The sequence below is a fragment of the Homo sapiens genome, chromosome 11 (assembly GCF_000001405.40).
Source record: "Homo sapiens chromosome 11, GRCh38.p14 Primary Assembly".
In the NCBI taxonomy this organism is placed as follows: domain Eukaryota; kingdom Metazoa; phylum Chordata; class Mammalia; order Primates; family Hominidae; genus Homo; species Homo sapiens.
Genome location: NC_000011.10, coordinates 74,718,264 through 74,741,199, shown reverse-complemented (window position 1 = coordinate 74,741,199; position 22,936 = coordinate 74,718,264). Strand labels below are relative to the sequence as shown.

General features: G+C 47.6%; 1 protein-coding gene, 1 non-coding gene and 1 pseudogene across 7 annotated transcripts in view; all 3 read left to right on the top strand.

Annotated features, from left to right (window-relative positions):
- RPL36AP38 (ribosomal protein L36a pseudogene 38) lies at nucleotides 2,404-2,720 on the top strand (annotated as a pseudogene).
- The window catches only part of CHRDL2 (chordin like 2), a 34,998-nt gene continuing 21,835 nt past the window's right edge, over nucleotides 9,774-22,936 (top strand). For 4 of the 6 annotated variants that reach the window (NM_001304416.2, NM_001304415.2, NM_001304391.2 and 1 more), the window contains exon 1: nucleotides 21,897-22,480. Coding sequence is in view for 5 of the 6 variants with exons in the window: in NM_001304415.2 (NP_001291344.1) it covers nucleotides 22,346-22,480 (135 nt within the window). In the remaining variant the exon portion in view is untranslated. Of the gene's footprint in view, nucleotides 10,394-21,896; nucleotides 22,481-22,936 lie in introns of those variants that run through there. The other 2 variants (NM_001278473.3, NM_015424.6) reach the window with 1 other exon arrangement.
- On the top strand, nucleotides 20,863-20,932 carry MIR4696 (microRNA 4696). Its single transcript, NR_039845.1, has one exon. It is a non-coding gene; the product is annotated as a microRNA 4696 (primary transcript).

Here is a 22,936-nt window from a genome sequence, read left to right as displayed (position 1 = left end):
CCCAGCTGTTTTTTAAATTTTAATTGACAAATAGAAATTGTATATATTTATAGTGTAGAGTTGTTCTTTTTGTTTTTTAAGAGGATAGAGGTGGCTTTAAGAAATCCTTTAGGTTCACAACCCAAATGTCCATCAATGATAGACTGGATTAAGAAAATGTGGCATATATACACCATGGAATACTATGCAGCCATAAAAAAGGATAAGTTCATGTCCTTTGTAGGGACATGGATGAAGCTGGAAACCATCATTCTGAGCAAACTATCGCAAGGACAGAAAACCAAACACCACATGTTCTCACTCACAGTTGGGAATTGAACAATGAGAACACTTGGACACAGGGTGGGGAACATCACACACCGGGGCCTGTCGTGGGGTGGGGGGCTGGGAGAGGGATAGCATTAGGAGATATACCTAATGTAAATGACAAGTTAACAGGTGCAGCACACCAACATGGCACATGTATACATATGTAACAAACCTGCACGTTGTGCACATGTACCCTAGAGCTTAAAGTATAATAATAAAAAAAGATGAGAATTAATTATCATTAAAAAATTTTTTAAAAAAGAAATCCCTTAGGTTCAAGATATAGAGAATAAGAGGGAAAAGAAATGGGCAAATGGCCTTACCCAACTGCACTCAGAGTGAAATATCTAAAAGACAAAACTTTCTCTGCTAGTATTGCTCACCTTTTATAGCGTAAATCACATTTCTTATTCTCACAGAGTCTCTATTTTCCCAGTCTCATCAAAGATATCCTACTACCTTCACTTTGGTCCAAGTCTCCAAGAAGGAGTGGGTCATGGACCTGTCCCAGGAAAAGAATGAGAAGAGTGAAAACCTCTTCTTGTCATAAATAAATAGACGAATAGTTACATTGAGCAGAATGGAGGATTTGCCTCAGAAGAGAGCACTGTGATTGCAGCAGAAGAAAAAGTCAGGGGAGCTACAAAATAGCCTCTCAGAGATTGACTTTGTCTACTTTGGAAAGAAACGGGAGAGATGGGTTCAGCTGGAGGCTGAGAACAGAAAGCATGATCTCCCAAGTTCCTTTGTCCTGAAGGAAGACAGGCTTCTATACCAATCTACTAGTGATCAACGAGAAACCTGATGGGTTCTGCACTAGAATGGTCATCGTCCCACTGTTCTTTGTTTACTTGGCTCTGTGTTCTGCAATCCCATCCCTGGGAAATGCCTGCAGGCGTCTCCTAGGTCTGCGATGTTGCTCAGTTTGACCACCAGGGGGCAAACTGAGCCTACGCGGTCTCCTCCACCCAGTTTCCAAACTCCAGAATCAGAATGTCAGAGCTATAACTGGCTTTAAAAAACCATCCAAGGCTTCTAATCAAACCTTTTTGTTTCAAGAGAAGAAAACCAAGGTCTAAAGAGGGGAAATAATTTGCCAAAGCCACATAGTGAGTGACTAGTAAAGTAGAAACTAGAAAACAAATCTTTTGACTCACTACTCCAGTTCTACACATGTTCCACACCAAGCTTTCTCCAGTCTCATATTTAATTCTAGAATACATCGAGTTTTAATGCTATATCTCTATGAAAAGATTCTCTCCCAATTAGATTGTAAGAACTTGGGGCAAGGGACCATGTTCTGACCAACATTGTACATCTTCTCCTCTAGCACACTCTTCTGCAAGGCAACCTGTATGCCCAATACAAAAAGGAAGATTTCAACAAATATTGTTAAACTGCTATATGGCAAGTCCAATAATGGTTCCTGATAACACAGAGATGAAATATACCATCTCTGCCCTCATGATACTCCCTATCTAGGGAGGGAGACAGATACAACAACACCTATAATTTAAGAGATGAGCATTTAACAGTGATGTAGAAAAGGCAATATGGAGGCACAGAAGAGGAAGTGACTATGTACCTGGATGAAATACAGAATTAGGTCCTAAAGGAAGAATGAGAACTCATCAGAGAAGGGAAATGGGAATTACAAATAGAAAGAATAGCAGAATAAGCCAACACAAGGAGGCATGGAGGCATGTGTTCAGTGAAAATGACTCTGAGTAGCTACACACAGTATAGATAAGAAGTTGGACTGAAGCAGAGGAGGAGGAGTAAATAAGACTAAAAAGGAAGTCCGAGGTCAGCTGTAAAGTTGCTATTCATTTATTCAGTCATTCAACAACGTTAAATACTCCCATGTGCCGTGCAGTGCTGTTATTGATAATGATGGTGGTGAGATGATAATAAAAGTAAGGGGAATAATAATGATGATGAAAATACTAATGTGGGTGAATTCCAAGGATTTGGGGTCTTGAATCTAGGGTTCATTACTCATATGAATCAGATAACACAGATAAATATTCCATCCTCCATTTCTTTTCTTTCTTTTTTAAATTCATTTTCTATATCAATAGCACACCTACAAACATGGTGAACATTCCTAAAACCTGCCAGACTTTCCGTAAGAAGTGAGGCAAGCACCAACCCCACAAACTGACGCAGTACAAGAAGGGTAAGGATCCACTGTATGTCCAGGGAAAGCAGCATTATAACAAGAAGCAGAGTGGCTAGGGTGGGCAGACTAAGCCAATTTTCCAGAAAAAGGTTAAAACCACAAAAAAGACTGTGCTGAGCCTTGAGTGCATTGAGCCCAATTGCAGAGCTAAGAGAAGGCTGACTATTAAGAGATGCAAGCATTTTAAACTGGCGGGAGATAGGAAGAAAAGGGCCAAGTGACCTAGTTCAAAGCTTCATCTTTTTTTTAATTGTGAAGACAATAAAATATTGAAGTTAGGTTCACACACACATACAAAAAAATCTGTTATGTATTAGGCATTGTTCCAGGAGCTAGGGATATAGCAGTGATCAAAAATTAAAGTCCACAGCCAGACGCAGTGTCTCACACCTGTGGTCCCAGCACTTTGGGATGTCAAGACAGAAGGATGGCTTGAGCCCAGGAGTTTGAGACCAGACTGAGCAACATAGCGAGATGCTGTCTTTGTCTTTAAAAAAAAAAAAAAATAGAAAATAAAACAAAAAAAATTAAAGTCTAGGCTGTTGCAGAGCTTTTGTGCTCATGAGGGAGACAGATAATATACAAGTGAAAAATATGTTTCAGAGAATGATAAGAAAGGAAAGAAAACAAGGCAATAAGATAGAAAATTACTCAAAAGCAGGCATCATTACATAGATTGGACCAGGGAAACATCACTAAAGAAGTGACATTTGAGCTGAATGAAGTATTATCTGTAGAAAAGGTTGAGGGAAGAGCATTCCAAGCAGGAGAACTAGCAAGGGCAAAATCCCTGAGGAGGGACCAGGCAGCTTGATGTATCCCAGGGACAGAAAGAAGGCCCGTGTACTAGAGCATAGTGAGCACAGGGAGAGTGGTCTGAAGTCAGAGTGTAGACAGGGCCAGGGCATGGAAGGCTTTACATATTTGGCAAATGATTTGGATTTTATTCTTATTTATTTATTTAGAGACAGTGCCTTGCTCTGTTGTCCAGGCTGGAATACAGTGGTGCGATGTTGGCTCACTGCAGCCTCCACCTCCCAGGCTCAATCAATCCTCCCACCTCAGCCTCCAGAGCAGCTAGGACTACAGGCTTGTGCCACTACGCTTGGCTAATTTTTTAATTTTTTGTAGAAATGAGATCTCATGATGTTGGCCAGGCTGGTCACAAACTCCTGGACTCAAGTGATCCTCCCACCTTGGCCTCCCAAAGTGCTGGGATTACAGGTGTGAGCCACTGCACCCACCCTTTGGATTTTATTCTAAGTGCAATGGAGAGGTTTTAAGCAAAGAAGGGACTTCACTAATTTACTTTTCTTTTCTTTCTTTTTTTTTTTTTTTTTTTTCAGAGATGGGGTCTCACCCTGTCATCCGGGCTGGAGTGCAGTGGTGCAATCATGGCTCACTGCAGCCTTGACCTCCCAGGCTCAAGCAATACTCCTGCCTCAGCCTCCCAGGTAGCTGGGACTACAGGTACACACCATCATGCCCAGCTAATTTTTAAGTTTTTTGTAGGGACAGGGTCTCATTTTGTTGCCCAGGCTGGTCTCAAACTCCTGGGCTCAAGCAATCCTCCCACCTCAGCCTCCCAAAGTGCTGGGATTACAGGCATGACATATGACGCCTGGCCTGATTTACATTTTTAAAAGATAATTCTAGTGGCTCTTCATTCCCACCTTTAGGTGGACACAGTGCCTGCCACCTTCCAACTGCGTGACCCAAGTTGTATGGCACTGTTTTCTGGTGCTCTAACTGCATCCTCACAGACCTATTGAAAGAAGTCTCTGAGAACAAACTGCTTTTCTAAAGTCCCCTGAATGTGGAGGAGGTGAGAGAACAAGGTCCACTCTCTTTGATACTTGGTAAGTGAGGATGCCCCAGTAGAGGAGGCCTCTGGCCAGTGGCAGGGCTTAAGACTCTAGAAGAATGATGATCCCACTCCATGTCTTCTGCTGAAGACACCATGTCCCCACTCAGTTTTCCTCATGAGGGCTCTCTGACATTAAGGGCTATGTGTTCCCCATTCTGGTTTCCTGATACTTCCTCCTCTTGCTGTGTACAGATTGTCCTGGGAACAGAGGGCTCAATGAGGGAGAAAAAAGACTTGGGAATATTCACATAGCCATATGGAAACCTATGTAAATACGGATGAGCCTCACTTTAAGAAGATCCATTCACTCACATAGATACTGATCGAGCACCCACAATGCATCAGGCACTATTTCAGGTGCTGAGGATTCATTCATCCATTCTACAGACATTTTTATTTAGGCCAACTATATGCACAACATCTGGAGAGCCAAATAAATACAAAAATGATAGTAGGTTCTAAATAAATGTTTGTTATATAGGTGAGTAACTGACCCAGTTGAGGGGTGAGAGTAGGGTAGGAATTGTTCACAAATAAATTAACTGTGAAGGTCCTTTAAATAAGACTTTCCTCCTAATGTAAATAAATTGGACTCAGCTTTATTTATTTATTTATTTATTTATTTATTTATTTAAATGGTATAGGGTTTCACAATGTTGCCCAGGCTGGTCTCAAAGTGATCCTCCCACGTCAGCCTCCAGAGAAGCTGGGACTACAGACATGCCACCACCACTGGCTGAACTCAGCTTTAAAGAGGCTATTTGTTCATTGCATTTCAGCACCTAATCATGTAAAAGCAGCGTACTAGAGGGGGCTTTTACCAGCTAAGGAGAGCCAGGGGTTAAATTTTCAGAAATGTTGCAAGCTGGTTATTGAACACAATCATTCCTAAAAATTAAATAACATAACGTATAATTAAATAAGTTACACTTAAAACAGAGGTAATAAAAACTGAGTCATCACTTCCTAATTACTACTCTCAATGTTCTTGAGGTTATTTACATCTACTATGTCGATAGGGAGGAAATACTGTATAACGGTATTTCACTGTGCCTCTCTTCTCCACTGCGCTTTCAGTGATGTCACATTGGTAGCATGAATTGGCCACAGTGGGAGTATTTACACCACAGACATTGGCAACTGTAAAAAACAACACTTTTTTTCCCCTGGAGAACCAGTTGTTAAACATTTACCAGCACACCACTGGTGTAGAGTCTCTATTATGTAATCTTCTTGTGGTGAATCTTCTTTTAGAATCTTATGGACAGAATTAAGCGGACTAGGCTAAGTCTCTCCTTGACACTGATCCCTATGATCCTTATCGCTATGGTAATTTTACATAATTAAGCAACCTGTGGCGGAGGAGGTGGCCTTTTAGTCACAAATAGCATGTCACATGAGGACTGTTTGAAGGAACTAGGATATTATTCAACAAACCTTTATTTAGCAGCAAATATGTGCAAAGCTGTGTGTTGAAGGCTAGGGAAGATATTAAATAGTAGTCTATGTTCTCAAAGAACTCACTATAGAGGAGGTGACACAAAACCTATTGAAAATACAATGTAGTAAGTGCTATAACAAAGAAGTATGGAGCAGAACGGAGCTAACTCAGAGACCAGCAAAGAGGATTCAGAGCACCTAGAATACAAGTGTCGGTGTCTGTCTTGTTCTCCACTGTGTCCCTAGCACCTAGCACTATGTCTGGCCCAGAATTTGCACTCAATAATTGTTGCATGAGTGAAGGAGTTAGCAATTACCTTAACCCTTGAAAAATAAGTAAGCTTGCCAGACAAATCAAAGTGAGTACAGAGAGGGCATTCCAGGGCGAAGAAACAGTGTTTGCAGAGTCATGGAGGCCCAAGAGCTTGGCACATTTGAAGACAATGTTTAATATGGCATGAGGGGTCCCGGGACCCAGACTGGTAAAGGTGAAGGTATGGAAGAGGGGTTCTCTGCCCCAAATCTCTAGAGAGCTCTCAAAAGACAAAAGGACTTGGCTTGTTCTGTATAGCCCTGGGGACAGAGTGAGGGGCAACACAGGCAGTCACAGAGAATCAGATTTCAGTTTAATATAAAGAACTTTCTAACAGAGCTGTCCAACAGTGGAATGGGCTGCCTTGGCAGGCAATGAGCAAGTTCGCTATGAAGGAAGAAAGCAGATGCCAGATAAACTCTTAGTGCAACAAACTGCTATGGGGAGATGCATTTTTTTTTCCTGACTAGATTTTGGAAGAATTTATTCAGTCTCCTTTTTAAAAGGGTATTAAATAATATATAGACAACTCTCTTCAATAGTATTTCTACAGAAGACACAAAGACTTTCTTTCTTTCTTTTTTTCTTTTTGAGACAGTCTTGCTCTGGAGTGCAGTGGTGCAAACACGGCTCACTGCAGCCTCAACCTCCTGGGCTCAAGCGATCCTCCTGCCTCAGCCTTCAGAGTAGCTAGGACTACAGGTGCGTGCCACTATGCCCAGCTATCTTTTTTACTTTTTGTAGAGACGAAGTTGGGGGGGGGTCTCACTTTGTTGCCCAGGCTGGTCTTAAACTCCTAGGCTCAAGCCATCTTCCCACCTCAGCCTCCCAAAGTGCTGGGATTACAGGTGTGAGCCACTGGGCCCGGCCTGACACAGAAACTTTCAAGTGTTTGTTTCTTATGTCAATCATTGACTAAAGCTGAGGCCAATAGTGGGCTGAAGGCTTTTCCAATCACTGAGGTCTTCACTCATTCATGTAGCAATTATTTATTCAGTATCTGTGTGTCAAGGACTTTGCTAAATGCTCGAATTACAGATATAAATTTCAAAAGGCACCTGCACTCACAGTGCAGGGTAAAAATGCAAATAAATACTTACACTCCAACAGCTACAATTCAAAGTGCTATGGGAAACACAAAGACTAAACATTGACTTTGCCTGGGGGACTCAGGGAAGACCTTGGAGTGGAGGTGACTCAACTGACCTTTGGAAAGTTAAATGGGATTCACTAGATGGAGGAAGAGAGAGTCCAGGCAGAAGGAAAACATGTGTGAGGATATGGAGGTGCGACGACGCATGGTCAGTTTGGGGAGGTGAGCGGTTGGCCAAAGTGTAGGGTAGGTGGCAATGGTAGATTGGAACTAAAATATGCGTGGTGTTCAATTCAGTGCTGAAAATTTTAGATTTTAACCTATAAATGATAGGAAGTGAATAATAGGTTTTATGTGGGAAAGTGATGTGATCAGATTTGTCAGTAGAAATGATCAGCATAGTTCTCAAGGCAGGTGTGAGGAAAATAGATAGGAGAGATCCAGATTAGGGGGAGGAGACCTGGTAAGAGGCTGTTGGGAAAGTTCAAGTAAGGAATGAAGATGGCCGGGTGCGGTGGCTCATGCTTGTAATCCCAGCACTTTGGGAGGCTGAGGTGAGTGGATCAGCTGAGGTCAGGAGTTCAAGACCAGCTTGGCCAACATGGCGAAACCCCATCTCTACTAAAAATACAAAAATTATAGGTGGTGCATGCCTGTAATCCCAGCTACTCGGGAGGCTGAGGCAGAAGAATCGCTTGAACCCAGAGGCAGAGGTTGCAGTGAGCCCAGATCACGCCACTGCACTCCAGCCTGGGCGACAAGCGCAAAACTCCATCTCAAAAAAAAAAAAAAAAGGAATGAAGTTGGCCTCAACTCTGGGGATAATAGGGATGGACAGGAGGGCTGAGATGGTGGAGGCCTTTTTTGAAGTATGATGGGCAGGATGTAGGGGAACCCATCTTAATCCACTTCTTACATCTAAGACATGAATATATGTGCACAGCACATTTTAAACAAAGAGAAAGGAAAAGATCACTGTCCCAAACCCTTGGGATGAGATTGTTTATGCAATTAAGCAGCACAGGATTTAACTCTGAGATCCCTGGAAGCAAAGGCAAAAAGGGAAGCATGGTGACATGCATAAGCTTGCACTATCTGTTAAAATAAAGAATACTCAGGGGAAAGGAAGAGACTGGCCAGATTAGAGTAGAAATTAAGCCTGAAGGGCACTGGACAGATCATGTTTGTCCCTGATCCTGAGAGCCCTAGGAAGGGCCAGTTTGGGGATCACTGGTTCCTCCTACTGCTCTCTTTTGGAGGGTGGAGATCTTGGGGGTAATACCCTGAAAGCACAGTGCAATGGGGAGCCCAGCCTTGGCCCAGAAAGATACCTTTACAGCCAGCCAGCCAAGTGTTTAAACCCGGAAATATGATTCCCTACCAGAGTGGGATATGGCTCAACATCCCTTCCCACCTCATACTCCTCTGGCACTCTTTGGAGTCTCCATTAGCTCTTCAAGAGAAGCTGGGCAGAAAGTTGAGGTCCAAAGCAAGGATAGATGTATTTACTCAAAGTGGCCCAACAAGTTACGGATGGAGCCAGGACAGTGACTCTGCCCTTTTGATTTCAGAGCTTGTGTGTTTCTGGTCTGGCCAGAGCTGGCTATTCTCTTCTTAGTGTCCTATTAGTGCATGTGTTCATTCAACACAAGAGATGGAGCACCATTTGAGGGCTGGAGGGTGTCAGGGCCCTGTCCTCAGGGAGCTCCCCTTCTGGTGGGAAAGAAAACTCTTTGACAATCAGCTCTCCCTAAAGATGACTGAAGGTGACCATCACTCCCAGAGAAGTGCAGGCCTCACCTGCAAAGGCAAAGGAGAGATCTTGCCTTGATTCGGGAGTGGGAGCGGGGAGCAGAGGAAGACCTCCAGGGGAAGGCACAGGATCCCTATGGGCTGACTTTCCTGAGAATGGCGCATGGGCAGACGGAGTGGGGACAGGGGCCACTGGTATTGTAGGCACCTGGAATTAGGACCCCTTCTCTTTGTGGGGTGAGTGTTTCGACGTTCATTACCTTATTTCATCTTAGCAACACTCGTGGGAAGATAGTAGAGATATTTTAAGATCTTAAAATGCCCATTTTAAAGCTGGGAAAACAGACTCTCCGGTGGCGTGCTGTAGACCACAAACTGAATTAAGAACGCCAGTGTTCTGATTCCATCCATCTGCGGAGTTCCGGGCACGCACCGCCGAGCGCCTTACCCTGAGCCTTCCCGGTACCCGCAGCCCCGACAGCTCAGCCTTCCCCACCTGAAAGTTCCACCTGAGGTCTCCCTCAACTCTGCCCTCCTGCATTCTTGGCGTCGCGGGGAGTCAGGGGTTAAACCCCGTGGCCCGCGTGGCCCCTTCCCCCTCCGCAGCCCCCTCGCCTCCACTCGGCGCCGCGCCTGGAGCGTCCGTCCCGGAGACCCGCACAAGAGAGGAGGGGAAAAAGTGGGCCTGTTTCTCGGGTGGCCAATCCACCGAGCCCGCGGTGCCCCAGAGGAGGCGCCAGCGCTAGGCCAGCGCCAGGCCGGGCTGCCTGCTTCCCGCGGCAAAGTACAAATGCGCCCGAGCGCGGCGCCTGAAGCCCTTGGCGAGCACAGCCGGCCCGCGCTCAGCCTCCCTCCGCGGCCGCCGCGCCGCCGCCGCTGCTGGGACCGCCGCCCCGCCGGGCCCCAGGCCCCCGCGGCCCGACCCCGAGCCCACCGAGCAGGGGGCGCCGGCCGCCTCTAGCCCGCGCGCCCGCAACACCCGCTGGTCCCGCGCGCCTCGCCCGGCGCTGCGCGCTCGGCAGACGCCGGTCCTCTCCCTGCTTTCTCCTCCTCTCCCTCTCACCTTCCCCCTTTCTTTGATCGCCTCTCCCTTCTGCTGGACCTTCCTTCGTCTCTCCATCTCTCCCTCCTTTCCCCGCGTTCTCTTTCCACCTTTCTCTTCTTCCCACCTTAGACCTCCCTTCCTGCCCTCCTTTCCTGCCCACCGCTGCTTCCTGGCCCTTCTCCGACCCCGCTCTAGCAGCAGACCTCCTGGGGTCTGTGGGTTGATCTGTGGCCCCTGTGCCTCCGTGTCCTTTTCGTCTCCCTTCCTCCCGACTCCGCTCCCGGACCAGCGGCCTGACCCTGGGGAAAGGATGGTTCCCGAGGTGAGGGTCCTCTCCTCCTTGCTGGGACTCGCGCTGCTCTGGTTCCCCCTGGACTCCCACGCTCGAGCCCGTAAGTAGACCGGGAGGCTGGGTGGGCAGAGGAGGGATGCGGCCCCTGGAATGTGAGGGACAGCGCCAGGACCTGGACCCCAAGCTCTTCTGACAGCCGTCCAGGCAGCACCTGTGCCGGAGGGGTGGAGACTCCGTGAGGACCAGTATGGGCCGGGGGACCGGAGGAACTCGGCACAACTCAGAACTGAGAGAGGGCTGCTGCCAGGGACCTGAGGAGGGGCACCAAGGGCAGCGGGGGGAGAGGGCAGGGCACTGTGTTTTGGGTTGGGGGAGGACTTACTGTTCCTAGGAGGGAGTCGGGTATGTCTGGCTACAGGTAAGGAGTGTGATGGAGAAGAAAAGGCTTTTTGCCTTTGGAAAGAGCCATTGGACAGAAATGAGAGGTAATTAGGATAACCTTCCCATTCTTTTCTCTCTTTTGATCCTCGCAACTCTCCAGTGAGGTGGGTATTATCATTCGCACTTTACAGATGAGAAAACTTAGGCTGAGCAAGGAGGAACTTGCTAAAACTTACAGAGCGGGTAAGCCATCCAAAGCCAGAACTCTAGTTCCAGATCCCATGCTTTATTCCCTGCCTCACATTGTCTAGAAGGAACCCTGAATTTGCAGTGTGAGACTCTGGGAGGCGGCAGGGCACAGTGAGATAGACCAGCGTCTTCACCATCCCAGCCCCGCTGAATGCCAGCTGCTGGGAGGCCGTCACAGAGTGCACCTCTCTGACCCTGGGTTTCCTAATCTATAAAGCGGAAGTAAAAATCCTAGGAGAGTTGATAGGATTAAATTAGAGAAAAGAGGTAAAGCAGCTAGCACAAGACTGGTGCTTGATAGCTTCCAAAAAAAATCAGTTCCCAATTATGCTTTTCCACATAGATACAGTGTAACATCAAACAGGTTACATCATCAATCTGAGCCTCAGTTTCCTCACTGCGCCCACAATAGGCTGGTGGTCCCCCCTCCCCATGCCCAGCCAATCTCTTAGAATGCTGTGAGGATGGAAAACCAAACCACATTCTCTTAATCAGAAGAAAGGAGCTTCATTCAAGCAGTGGGTTTCTCCAGGACATACATGGCACAGCCTGGGATTAAGACCCTGCGTTCCCAACTCCTAGTCTGGTGCTCTTTCCTCTCCCCAGCTCAGCTCCTCCATCTATGCCTTTCTTTTGCACGTGACATTCTGGAGCTGGTAGTGCTGGACTTTGTTACGGTCTTGTTTCTGCTCATGAGAGCAGGCTGAGTGTCTCTGGCCTGCCAGCAGCATGAGACTCACATAAGTCTTTCCATTACATAGAACAAGTAATGGAATTAGCTCAGTGTTGTATTCAAATCCTGGCCGTGCCCCTTAGAGCTGTGTGACTTTTTGTAAGTCATAACTTCTCTGAGCCTCAATTTCCTAATCTGTCTAAGAGAGATACTAATCCAGAACTTGCAGGGTTCTTGGGAGGATTAAAGGAGGTAACGGATTAAAGTGCCCAGCACAATGCTGTGTACTTAATAAATGTCTCTTCCGCTTTCTTGAACCCTGAGGGTTTCCTCCTAACACCTGCCTCCTATTTCTTAAAAGAGACTTTGCACAGGATGCCCTCCATGCCTGCCTCCCATCCACTTGACACCTTGTTCTTAGTCCCTGCAATTTTTTCTCCAGATATCATTGCCCTTGATGCATCTTGGAAAGATGTCCTAGAACCAGACTGTTATCCTACCCACACCCTGCTTCTTTGCTTCCCATATCTTGTCAGCCTTTCATGGCCTTGCCTAGGTCACACCTCTTCAAGCAAACTCTCCCCGGTGACTTGATCCACTCTGATCTCCCTCGTCTGTGCCTCCCTGGCCTTCAGCTCTGTACCTCTCAGCAGGTCCTGCCAGTATTCCATCTTCCCTACAGCCTTGTAAATACAGATCTCCAGACATGTGAGAAAAAGACTTGGAGCCAACTCATTAGGGTGAGGTGGACTGGCACTCATTGGAGAATGTTAAGATTCCTGGATGTTAGAGCTGGTGAAACTATCAAAAACCATCTGCTTCTACCCATCAATATACCTATACTTAGAGTTAAATTGAAGCCCAGAAGAGAAGAGTGACTTGCCCAAGGTCACACAGCAAATTTATTAAAGAAAAGAACAAAAGCCAGGCACAGTGGTACACACCTGTAGTTCCAGTCACCAGCTACTTGGGAGGCTGAGAGGGAGAGGAACCCTTGAGCTCAGGAGTTCAAGGCTAGCCTGGGGAACATGGTGAGACCTCATCTCTTAAAAAACAACAACAACAACAACAACAAAAAACAGAACAGACCTGGGTCCTGGACCCTGATTTGTCACTTATTGGCTGTGTGAGTTGGGACAGACCACTTCTTTATCTGAGCCTCATTTTGTTTGGTGCTGACAGCCTATGAATCTAGAAAGGATCCTATAGTCATTTGCCAAGATGCTATTTGAAGGTCTCTTACAAAGGTCCTCATCTTAGTTTAAGTGAGATCTCAAGCCTGTTGTGGGTCAGAAATCTGGTGATATCTTAGGTGCTTTCAGAAACAGTGCTAACGGATGGAAATGTTCAAGTCTGTGTGGTATCAGGCTCCTGAGGTGTCGGAGCCCTGAAGAATGCCAAGGGCCTGTGAACACAGGTAACAGTTTGCTCCTCAGGCTATTCAAACAAAAAGTATTCTCTCTTTGGTTCTATTTCCAGCCATAGATTGAGCCCTAATCCCAATACAGACTAAGTTGCAATTCCAGCCACAAGCCAAGCCCTAGTCCTCCAACCTTGGCCACAGGTTGAACACCAATTCCACCCCTATACAAGACCCCTTACCCAGGCTGGGTCCCTGACCTGGTTACTGACCAGTACTGGTCCCAGCCCCAGGCTGAGCCACAGACATGTGTGATGCTGGTCACTCTAGACACTCGGCTCTTTGTGGATGAGTGTCCACCAGAGGCCTACTATCTTCTTACCTCCCTCTTCAGTGCTTTCTGCCCTACTCCTCTCAGCTCCTCTCTTTGGTTCTCTTCCCTAATTGTCCCTTGTAGGTGTCTAGTATGCTCTGCTTTCTCTTCCCTCCCTCCATCCAATCCTGCTTTCAGGAGAGTCAGTTACCAAGTAAAAACATGGGGCTGGGTGCAGTGGCTCACGCCTGTAATCTCAGCACTTTGAAAGGCCGAGGTGGATGGATTACTTGAGCCCAGGAGTTTGAGACCAGCCTGAGAAACATAGCAAGACCCTGTCTCTAGAAAAAATAAAGAAATTAGCCTGGCATGGTGGCACATATCTGTGGTCCCAGCTATTCGGCAGGCTGAGGTGGAAGGATTGCTTGAGCCCAGAAGATGGGGGCTGCAGTGAGCTGTGATTGCACCACTGCACTCCAACCTGGGTATCACAGTGAGACCCTGCTGAGAAAAAAACAATCCATGTATTTTTTTTCTTCAAGGGTTTTGTTTATTATGGGAATCGAAGCTTTCGTTCCCAGGTGATGAATTCCGGACCCTAGACGCAGGCATGGGACAGGAAGGGAGCTCCGCTGGTAGGATGTGATGTGGAGGGCAAACCTGGAATCAGAAAGTCATGGATCCAGCCCTGGCTGTGCCATCAATTCCAACTGTGACCCTGGACAGGTTGCCTTTCTCTACCTCTCAGTTTTCTCCCCTGTAAAGTGAGATGGTTGGACTCAAGTGGATGATTATTGAGGACCATTCTAGTTTTAACACTTCGTAATTCTAAGTCTCCAAAACCCAAAGGTGTGGTTGCCTTGATTCCGAGTCCACTCTGGCCTTTGGAATAGGGATGTGGGAGGGTGGTACTCCTGCCCTGCCAGGGAGGAGTGGACAGGCAGACCCTCAGACACCAGAAAAAAGTGCCTGGATGGCCTGGGGCAGTGAAGGTAGTGGGAGACCGGCCAGAGGGGACCTGCTTGTCTGTCCAGCTTAGTCGCATCCCCATCTACCTGTGCAGGTGTGCATGAGGCAGTGGGGAGCACCTAAGTGAAGGCCTGAAGTCCGGCTCCAGGCTGACTTCTCTCTGGATCTCTGACTGGGCCGTTCTGCACCTCTCCTCTCCCACCAGCAGAGGTCTCTGCCTCACTCACTGGCGCACAGGCTGCTGAGCCTGAGCCCGGCAACAGCTGCGCAGTTGCTCCAGCTGTTGCACCTGTTCCAGGACTGGCCTCTCAAGTTCCCCCAGCCGCCAACCATGGCGCCGGACTCTGGGAGAGGGACCTTGAATCCTTCATATTCTCAAAGAAAAGGACTGGCATGACAGCGGTGCCCCTGGGAGGTGTAGTACAGAGATCATTTCAGGCGTCCCCCTTCCTCTGTCCAGGACCCCATCCTCATTCTTGTACTCAGGAGTTCTTTTTTGTGTCTCGCCAGAAGCCTTCTGTTTACAAATTAAGGCCATTTCTTCTAGTCCTGCCTAGTAGGGGATGGGTGTCCCTGTAAGCATTCTCTCCACATCTGACGACTGGCATTGAAGATTGTGCTGGAGTGAATCAAGCTTAGTCAAGTCCTGATCTCTCTCTGGGACTCAATTTCCCACAAAGGAAACAGGGGACTGGATGTCTCTGAGTCCCTAGCTTTCTACGATTCTATGAATCTAAGCATATATGTCCAAGGCAGAAAAAAATGTGAACAGTCCCCACCCTGTTTCCTGCCCTTTAACAGGTAACAGAGCTGCCTTTCCTGGTTTGATAGTTCTCTCCCTAGAGGCCCTTCTATGTTCCTGTATGTCTGTCATGTGCCAGAGGGAAAAGTCAGGTTCAGAGAAATGCAGTTCCTTTCTCCGGGTTGCACAGCTCAGCCACTGAGGAGCTGAGGCTTTTCTTCTGATTTCCTTAAGAGGCCTCTCCCACCGGGTGCCAGAGCCCAGAGCAGAGCTTATGTCTCAGAGGGGAGCAAGTTTGTTTGTGTGAAGAGGGGATTATAAATAAATAGAGAAAGTATGGCTGTGTGGGTGTGAGGGAAGAGATGTAAACGTTCTACATTCCTGGGCAGCCTGGCTCACTCAGGTTTCCTGAGTTCTTGCAGCCTGGGGACAGGCCAGCCACAATTCCAGACCTCTCTCCTCTCACCCCGGCCCCTCCTGATGCCCTTTCCAAGGTCTTGACCAGCCTCCCCTCCAGCCCAGAAGCTTCTTTCTAGTTGTCTTTTCTGCTTCCTATTGGGGAAGAATTCTCAACCGCACTAACCCCTTCTAACTGACCACCATAAAAAAACCTTTTATCACAGCATGAGAGTTTCAAGCCAGACTGTGGGATGAGCTTGGAACTTGGATAGAGACAGTTTGGAAATTTTGACTTATGCGTGAAGATCATGGAATCACTCATCCCCTTAGCTACTCTGGGCTCCTGACCTTTTTGTACATGTTGTCATTTGGTTTGGCCAGTGGTTTGAGCATTCAGATGGCAGGGAGCTGGAAAGTGGGGGTTGTCAGAAGCTAATTTCTGTTAGGTGGCAAGGTAAAAGTGCTGAAAGGGAATTGGCCCTCTTCCCATATAATGAACTACTCCTTTTGTTAAAGAAAGAGGCTTCCAGGGCTGGGCGTGGTGGCTCCCGCCTGTAATCCCAGCCCTTTGGGAGGCCCTGGCGGGTGGATCACGAGGTCAAGAGATCGAGATCATCTTGGCCAACATGGTGAAACCCCATCTCTACTAAAAATACAAAAATTAGCTGGGCGTGGTGGCACTCACCTGTAGTCCCAGCTACTCGGAGGCTGAGGCAGGAGAATCGCTTGAACCTGGGAGGCGGAGGTTGCAGTGAGCAGAGATTGCGCCACTGCACCACAGCCTGGTGACAGAGCAAGATTCCATCTCAAAAAAAAAAAAAGAATGAAAGAAGCTTCCAGGACTAAGGACCGTCAATTGGCTCCTCTTCCAGAATCTCTCCCTCTTTGTTAACTCTGTTCTTTCATCATTGATTTCGTTCATCAGGCACGAACTCTATGTAGGCTCTACCTTGAGCACAAAATTTAATGAGATCTGGTCCTTGCTCTCAAGAAGGTCCCAGTTTGGTTAGGAAGCAAAGCTTACTTAAGAAGTACCTCTAATCCATTTGTGATGAGAATTGTAATGAGGGCTGAACTCAGTTCTGCAGGAAAGGCCAGTGGCTGGAAGTTTGGGGCAGCTTCACAGAAAGGGTAGCATCTAAGCTGGCTTTTGAAGAATGGGAAGGAGTTGGTCAAACATTGGAGATGGAGGATTCCATTCCAGGTGGAGGAAACAGCATGTTTGAAGGCACAGTAGGAGGAGGCCTGGGGGCTGGTGGAAGAGTGAGGAATTTAGCAAGAGGAGGTGAGGCTGAAAACAGGGCCACCACAAAAAGTTTTGCTGGAAAAGCAGGCAGGAGCCACCTCATGATAGGCTGGGGATGACACAGTGACATTTGGAATCTGTCTGGTAAACATTGCTGTCCTGAAATCAGATTAGATCAACTAAGTCCAGTCACTTTAAGTCTGTTCAGACAGGTAAAGAGATTTGGCTGTGGCCCATCCAAGTGGACACTTCCTGTGGGAAAGGGAGCTAGTGTCTAGCACTTTGGATATGCCAAAGAGAAGCCTCTGTGTCCTTCATGAACCACATCCACTCCCACCTCTGTGCCTTTGCATCTAGCACCCACTGCCTGAGAAGTCCTTCCCCTTCTGCATCTTGTTAATTTCTCCAAGATCCAGCTCAGGCATGTTCCTAGAGAAGCCTCGCCTGAAGACCCTATGCTCACGCCATCATAGCGTTTGTCAGACTGAATGTATTGTATCTATCTGTGTTCTTCACTAGGCTGTGAGCTCCTTCAGGAGGTGACTTTGTTTTAAGTCATGTACCAGGCCCATGAATGTGTATAATATTTGACATACAAAAAGTTCAATAAATAAATGAATAATGGGAAGTAATATTACTGTAGCAGTCCCCCAGTATTCATGGTTTCAATTTCTGAGGTCTCAGTTTCCTGTGATTAACCTTGGTCCAAAATGTTAAATTGGAAATTCCAGAAATAAAGAATTCATACGTTTTAAATTGCACATCATTCTGAGTGGCATGGTGAATTCTGTTGCCATCCCTCTCTGTCCCATCCAGAATGTAAATCACCCCTTTGTCCAGTGTGCCCACGCTGTAGATGCTCCCCGCCCGTTAATCACTTGGTAGCTGTCTCAGTGATCAGATCAACTGTTGCAGTATTGCAAGGCTTGTGTTCAAGGAACCCTTATTTTACTTCATAATGGCACCAAAGCACGAGTAGCAGTGCCAGCAATTTGGATATGCCAAAGAGAAGCCATAAAGTGCTTTCTTTAAGTAAAAAGGTAAAAGTTCTCAATTAATAAGGAAAGGAAAAAAATGGTATAGTGAGTTTGCTAAGATCTACAGTAAGGATGAATCTTCTATTTGTGAAATTGTAAAGAAGGCAAAAGAAATCTATGCATGGTCTATGTAGGGTTCAGTACAAACTGTGGTTTCAGGCATCCACTGGGGGTCTTGGAATGTATCACCCAAGGATGAGGGGGGACTACTGTATTACTAATGATAATAATGTTTACTGCCTGTTATGCCAAGTGCCGCACACTCACGTATGTGTTCAGTCCCGAAACCTCAATCCTGACCTTGATGGCTCCTTTGCCTTCTCCACCCATATCCTATCCAGTCTGTCCCAAAGCCTGCCCATTGTACCTCCTAAGTGTTTCTCAAATCTGTACTTTTGCCCATCAGCACAGCTTCCATCTTGGTCCAGGTCCAGCATGATCTCAAAACAGGATGACTGCAACAGCCCCTCCCTGGTCTCCCTGCCTCCAGTCTTGCCCTCCAATCAGTTCTCCATTCCTGTGAGCACAGTGATGATTCTAAAATGCAAATCTGATCATGGAACTCCCCAGTTTAAAGCTTTTCCATGGCTTTCCTTTGCCTCTCAGGCTCTCAAAGACCTCCGTGAGCCTCTGCTTCTCCTTCCAGACTGGTCTCTTGCCTCTCACTCCTGCCTTCCCATTCTCTCCTCCAACTTCTGAGCCACTTTCATCTCTGTATCCCCGCCCAAGGTCTGTGGGCCTGAGGTGAGTTGAGGCAAACTAATCTGATTTATGAGTGGGGCTAGAAGAATGCAGGAGGCCACCAGAATCATGATTGGTGCAGTAGTAAATGAGACCTGGGAGATTTGGCCTCAGTGTGTGCTATGATGTTCATCCCCTAATAGGTGCCTGGGGATGACCACAGAGAGCTCTGGGAGTCAAAGAAACACCACAGGAAACAAACTATTAAGGAAGTCTGGGGTCAGTGCCCAGATCTGTTTTTTTTTAAACCTATTTAGTTGAGCATATAATATATGTCAGGCACTAGGCATATTACATATATTATCTGACCTAATTCTACAGTAACTCTGAGAGGTAAAGATTGTTATTAGTTCCATTTAATAGATGTGGAAACAGAGGCCCAGAATGGTTAGGTAACTTGTCTAAATTCAGGCTGCAAATAAAAGCCAAATCCACAATTTGAACCCCAGCCGATCTGACTCCAAAGGGTCCCTGAGAAAAGTCATGCTTGGTCTCTGAGATGGGGAGGGATGCATGGGCACAGGTGGGATGAGACTTGGTGGTGGGGTGGGAGAGGAATCAGGGCAGGTCCAAGGCCAGGGCAGAGGTGGGAACGCCACAGAGGACCAAAGGGAGTGTATGGGAAGGGAGTGAGGTATGAGACAAACTCTACCTCCTTCACACTCAGGTGACACACCTGTGTCACTCAGGACTGGTCCTACTGGCTCCCTGAACTTCATCCTAACCCACTTTGGAGCCTCTGAGAGCCTAAGATGTATGAGACCATCAACACATCCAAGAATCATAGAATCTTGGAATGATCGAATCTTAGAACCACAACATTGGACAATTCTAGAAGCTTTGTGTTCTAAGGAAAGACAGGTTCTTAGAAACATGGAATTCTCAAAATCCTGAACCTTAGAATCCTAGAATTTTGGAGTCTTCAAATGTTGAAATCATGGATTCATAAAGTATCTATGCAGAAAATCTTTGAAGATCATAGCTTACCCCCTCCCCTTATTTTGCAGATGGGAAACTGAGGCTCAGAGAAAGGAGGATGAGTCTCTGAATGTCACACAGTGAACTTGTGGCTTAAAGAACTAAAACTGTTTTCACCAGCCATGTTCAAGGGTTGGGGCTAGTGCCAGCACTGCAGGAACTGAGGCGGCCTGTCGCCGTCTGGCAGTTCTTCCTCCTGCTTGGTTCTGGCATGGCCTTGGGCACTCATCTCACTTGAGGAAGAGAGAGCTCCAGGCCATGCCACCCTTCCTTGTGCCTGTCACCTTCTAGGGTATGGTGGGGTGGGGATTGTGGCCACTGGAGGCCTCCTGCCAGGCCCCCCACATTCTCAGCCTCTGCCAGGTCTGTTGGTGGGGGGAAGGGGCCTCCTGCCTGGGCATTGGCTGAGACACTCTTTCTGTCTTCATGCTCTGAGCAGGCGGTGAGGTGAAGGGGGTGCCAACTGGCACAGAGACCTGGGCTACAGGGCTGCCCCAAGGAAGGGAGGACAGGGCTTCTTCAGCAACAGGCTGAGACCTAAGGTGGTGGCAGTGTTGCAATCACCCCCTCCCTGGTGGGAGGAGGGGACTGAGGAAGAAAGACATTATTCACTCCTTGGAGAGTTGGGCTGGCTCTGACCAGCACCCCAGCTGGGCCCGTGTCCCACCCTCTCTGCCAGTAGAGGCTGAGAGATAAACACAGCTCATTTGATACGGGCCAGCCGGGCCTTGCTGGCTTGCTGGGAATGTGAGAGGCGAACTTTAATCGCTCCTCCACTTTGCGGAGTTGGGAAGGGAATGGCGAGGGAACTAAGCCATGTGTTCCTACTCTCAGCGACCCTCGAAGCACAGACTGAAGGCATCGTGACAGCAGTCTCAAATCTTTGTTCTAGGAGGCCCAAGAGGGCAGAGCAGGAGCAATATGAGGAACCCGAGAGAGGCCAACTCCAGCTCCTTACAAAGAAAACCTTCTGATGGTTAGGAATGGCCCATGAGCTCCTGTTTCCTGGAGGCGTGTGTCAGGCAGGGGCTGCACGCCAGCCCAGCCCCCAGTGCTGAGAGGGAATTCCTGCACTGAATGTGAGCTCCCCGCTCACCCCACCCAACTCATTACTGCTTTCAATGCTCTGCGATTCTGTTTCAAAGTCTAAGAGAATGTGATTTAGGAAGTGTAAGAACCCATGTTTCTAAGACGCTTGACTCTGGAAAATGAGAAGGAGGCATGAGAGGCAGCTTCTCCATTTTAGACCAACAGGGGACTAAGAGAATAAGCTAGGGAGTCGGGGATGGTGGCTGGTGGGGCAGAGAGAGAAGAAGGCCTTTAGGCCCTGGAATTGTGTAAAAAGCCACAGGAGATGAGAGATGAGGTGAAGAGAAAGGAGCTCTGCTTTGGAGGCGGGAGTCCTGGGCTGAAATCCTAGCGGAGGACTTTAGGCAAGTGGCATAGTCTCTGTGAGCCTTCTCATAATTGTGGTAACAGTCCAAAGCCACTGCAAGACGGATACTGTCATCTATTCCAGAAGATGACAATGTCCATTTTGCAGTGGCTTTGTGATTGTTACCACAATTATCATAATAATAGCATTCAACTAAGGGTCAGAAACTGGACTGGGTAAACACTTTACAAGCGTTATCTAATTTAATGGTCAAAACAATAATGTTAATGAGATAATTAACTTCTATAAGGGGTTCGGCAAAGAGAAGATAGTCAATAATGTTGGTTCCCTTCTCCATATTTCAATCTCATTTAATTCAACAAACCTTTACTGGCACTTAGCTTGTGCTGAGCCTCCCAGTTCCTCCTGAAAAGAGCTCAGGCAATGGAGTGTTTTTCCCTGCTGGCGTGAAGATCGCTAGGTACCTGCGTAGAGGAGGGTTGGTGAGGATAGGGCGGGAGGCAGAGGGGCAGGGCACAAGGCTGCAGTGCTGGGCTGGGAGGTCTGACCCAGGGCTGGAGGTGAGTGGGTAGGAGGTGGGAGCAGGAGTGGATCAGTGGGTTATGGGAGGTGAGAAAGGCAGAGGTTTCAGGAATGCAGGATTGTAGGAGAGATAGCCAACCCATGGAACAAACGATTTTAGTAATTCTTAGAAGCATTCATCCAGATATTGACAACTGATGTGCGATTGCAAAAAAGTCCATTGGTGTGCCAATCACAAATCACAGTAGTAGCAACGACCATTTTTAAGGATACTTGAAAGTCAGTTTCCTAACAACCTTCTCATCACGGCTCACCAAAATATAAGGACATAGTACAGTGTGAAAGCAAGAAAGCTCCCAGAGCCATGGCCTCAGGCCCCATCCCTGCCAATCCTCCTCTACACAGGTGCCTGGTGATCTTCACACCAGGAGGACTTTGTTCAAAAGGTGGGCTACAGGACCCAGAGAATGTGTACACGTGTGTGTGTGTGTGTGTGTGTGTGTGTGTGTGTGTGTGTGTACAGGGGAGGGGGATGGGAGAGGAGAGAGGGGTGGGAAGGGAGGGAAGGGTGAGGTGATGTACTAAATAAGCCAAATGGGACAAATAAAAAGGAAACAAGCATGATTGTGAGGGCAGAGGAGCGTGGGACTGAGTCAGGAGACTGGTGCTGTCATCGCTGCCTGGTGACTGACTTGCTGTGTGGCCCTCAGGTGTAACTTACCCTCTCTGGGCCTCATTTGTCTAATCATAATAATTAACGCTGATACCATGATATAAATCTGTACAGCATTTCACTGCTTGATTCCCTAACTGCCCTGTGAGATAAGCGTTAAGGCTCAGAGACAGTGGCATGCCCAGTGTTGCACAGTAAGTGTGTGGTAAAGCCGAGATTCAAACTCAGACCTTCTGGCCCCTTGCCTAGGAGAGCATGCCCAGTTGTCTAGCAGATTCTCTTTTGCCTGAGTGGCCCAGATGACATCTCTTTTAGAGCTAGAAAGAAGGAGAAATGAGACAGGGTCTTTGGGCTGGAGCCTCCTGGGACTAACATGGCACTGGTCGGTTTGCCAGGCCCAGACATGTTCTGCCTTTTCCATGGGAAGAGATACTCCCCCGGCGAGAGCTGGCACCCCTACTTGGAGCCACAAGGCCTGATGTACTGCCTGCGCTGTACCTGCTCAGAGGTAGGTTCCTCTGGCCACCTGACCACCTGTGTCAGGGATGTCTGAGAACCCTCCAGAGAAGTCACCCCAGAAGGAGGACCAGGCCTTCTAGAACTGTGCTGTCAGCGGCAGCTGAGAGACTTGGGACAAGCCACTTCACTACTGACTACTCAATATATAGGATTAGATGGCTACTGTGTACCTCCCAAAGATAAGTCACACAAACATTAGTGGCTGGGTTGGGATGAGGGCCCTGGTCTCCCATCTCACATCCCAGCCTTCTTTCCACCTCGTGCTGGTGCCAGCCTCCCTGCCTCCCACGCAGCCCAAGACAGAGCCTTTTTGACCTTATCTCCCATTCCCTTCTTTTCACGTACTATTTCCTCCAGCCACTTTGGCCCTGCCTTAGGATGTGTTCCCCCACCTCCACTAGCCCAACTACTTGTTCCTCAAGGATTTGCTCAAATGGGAAAATGA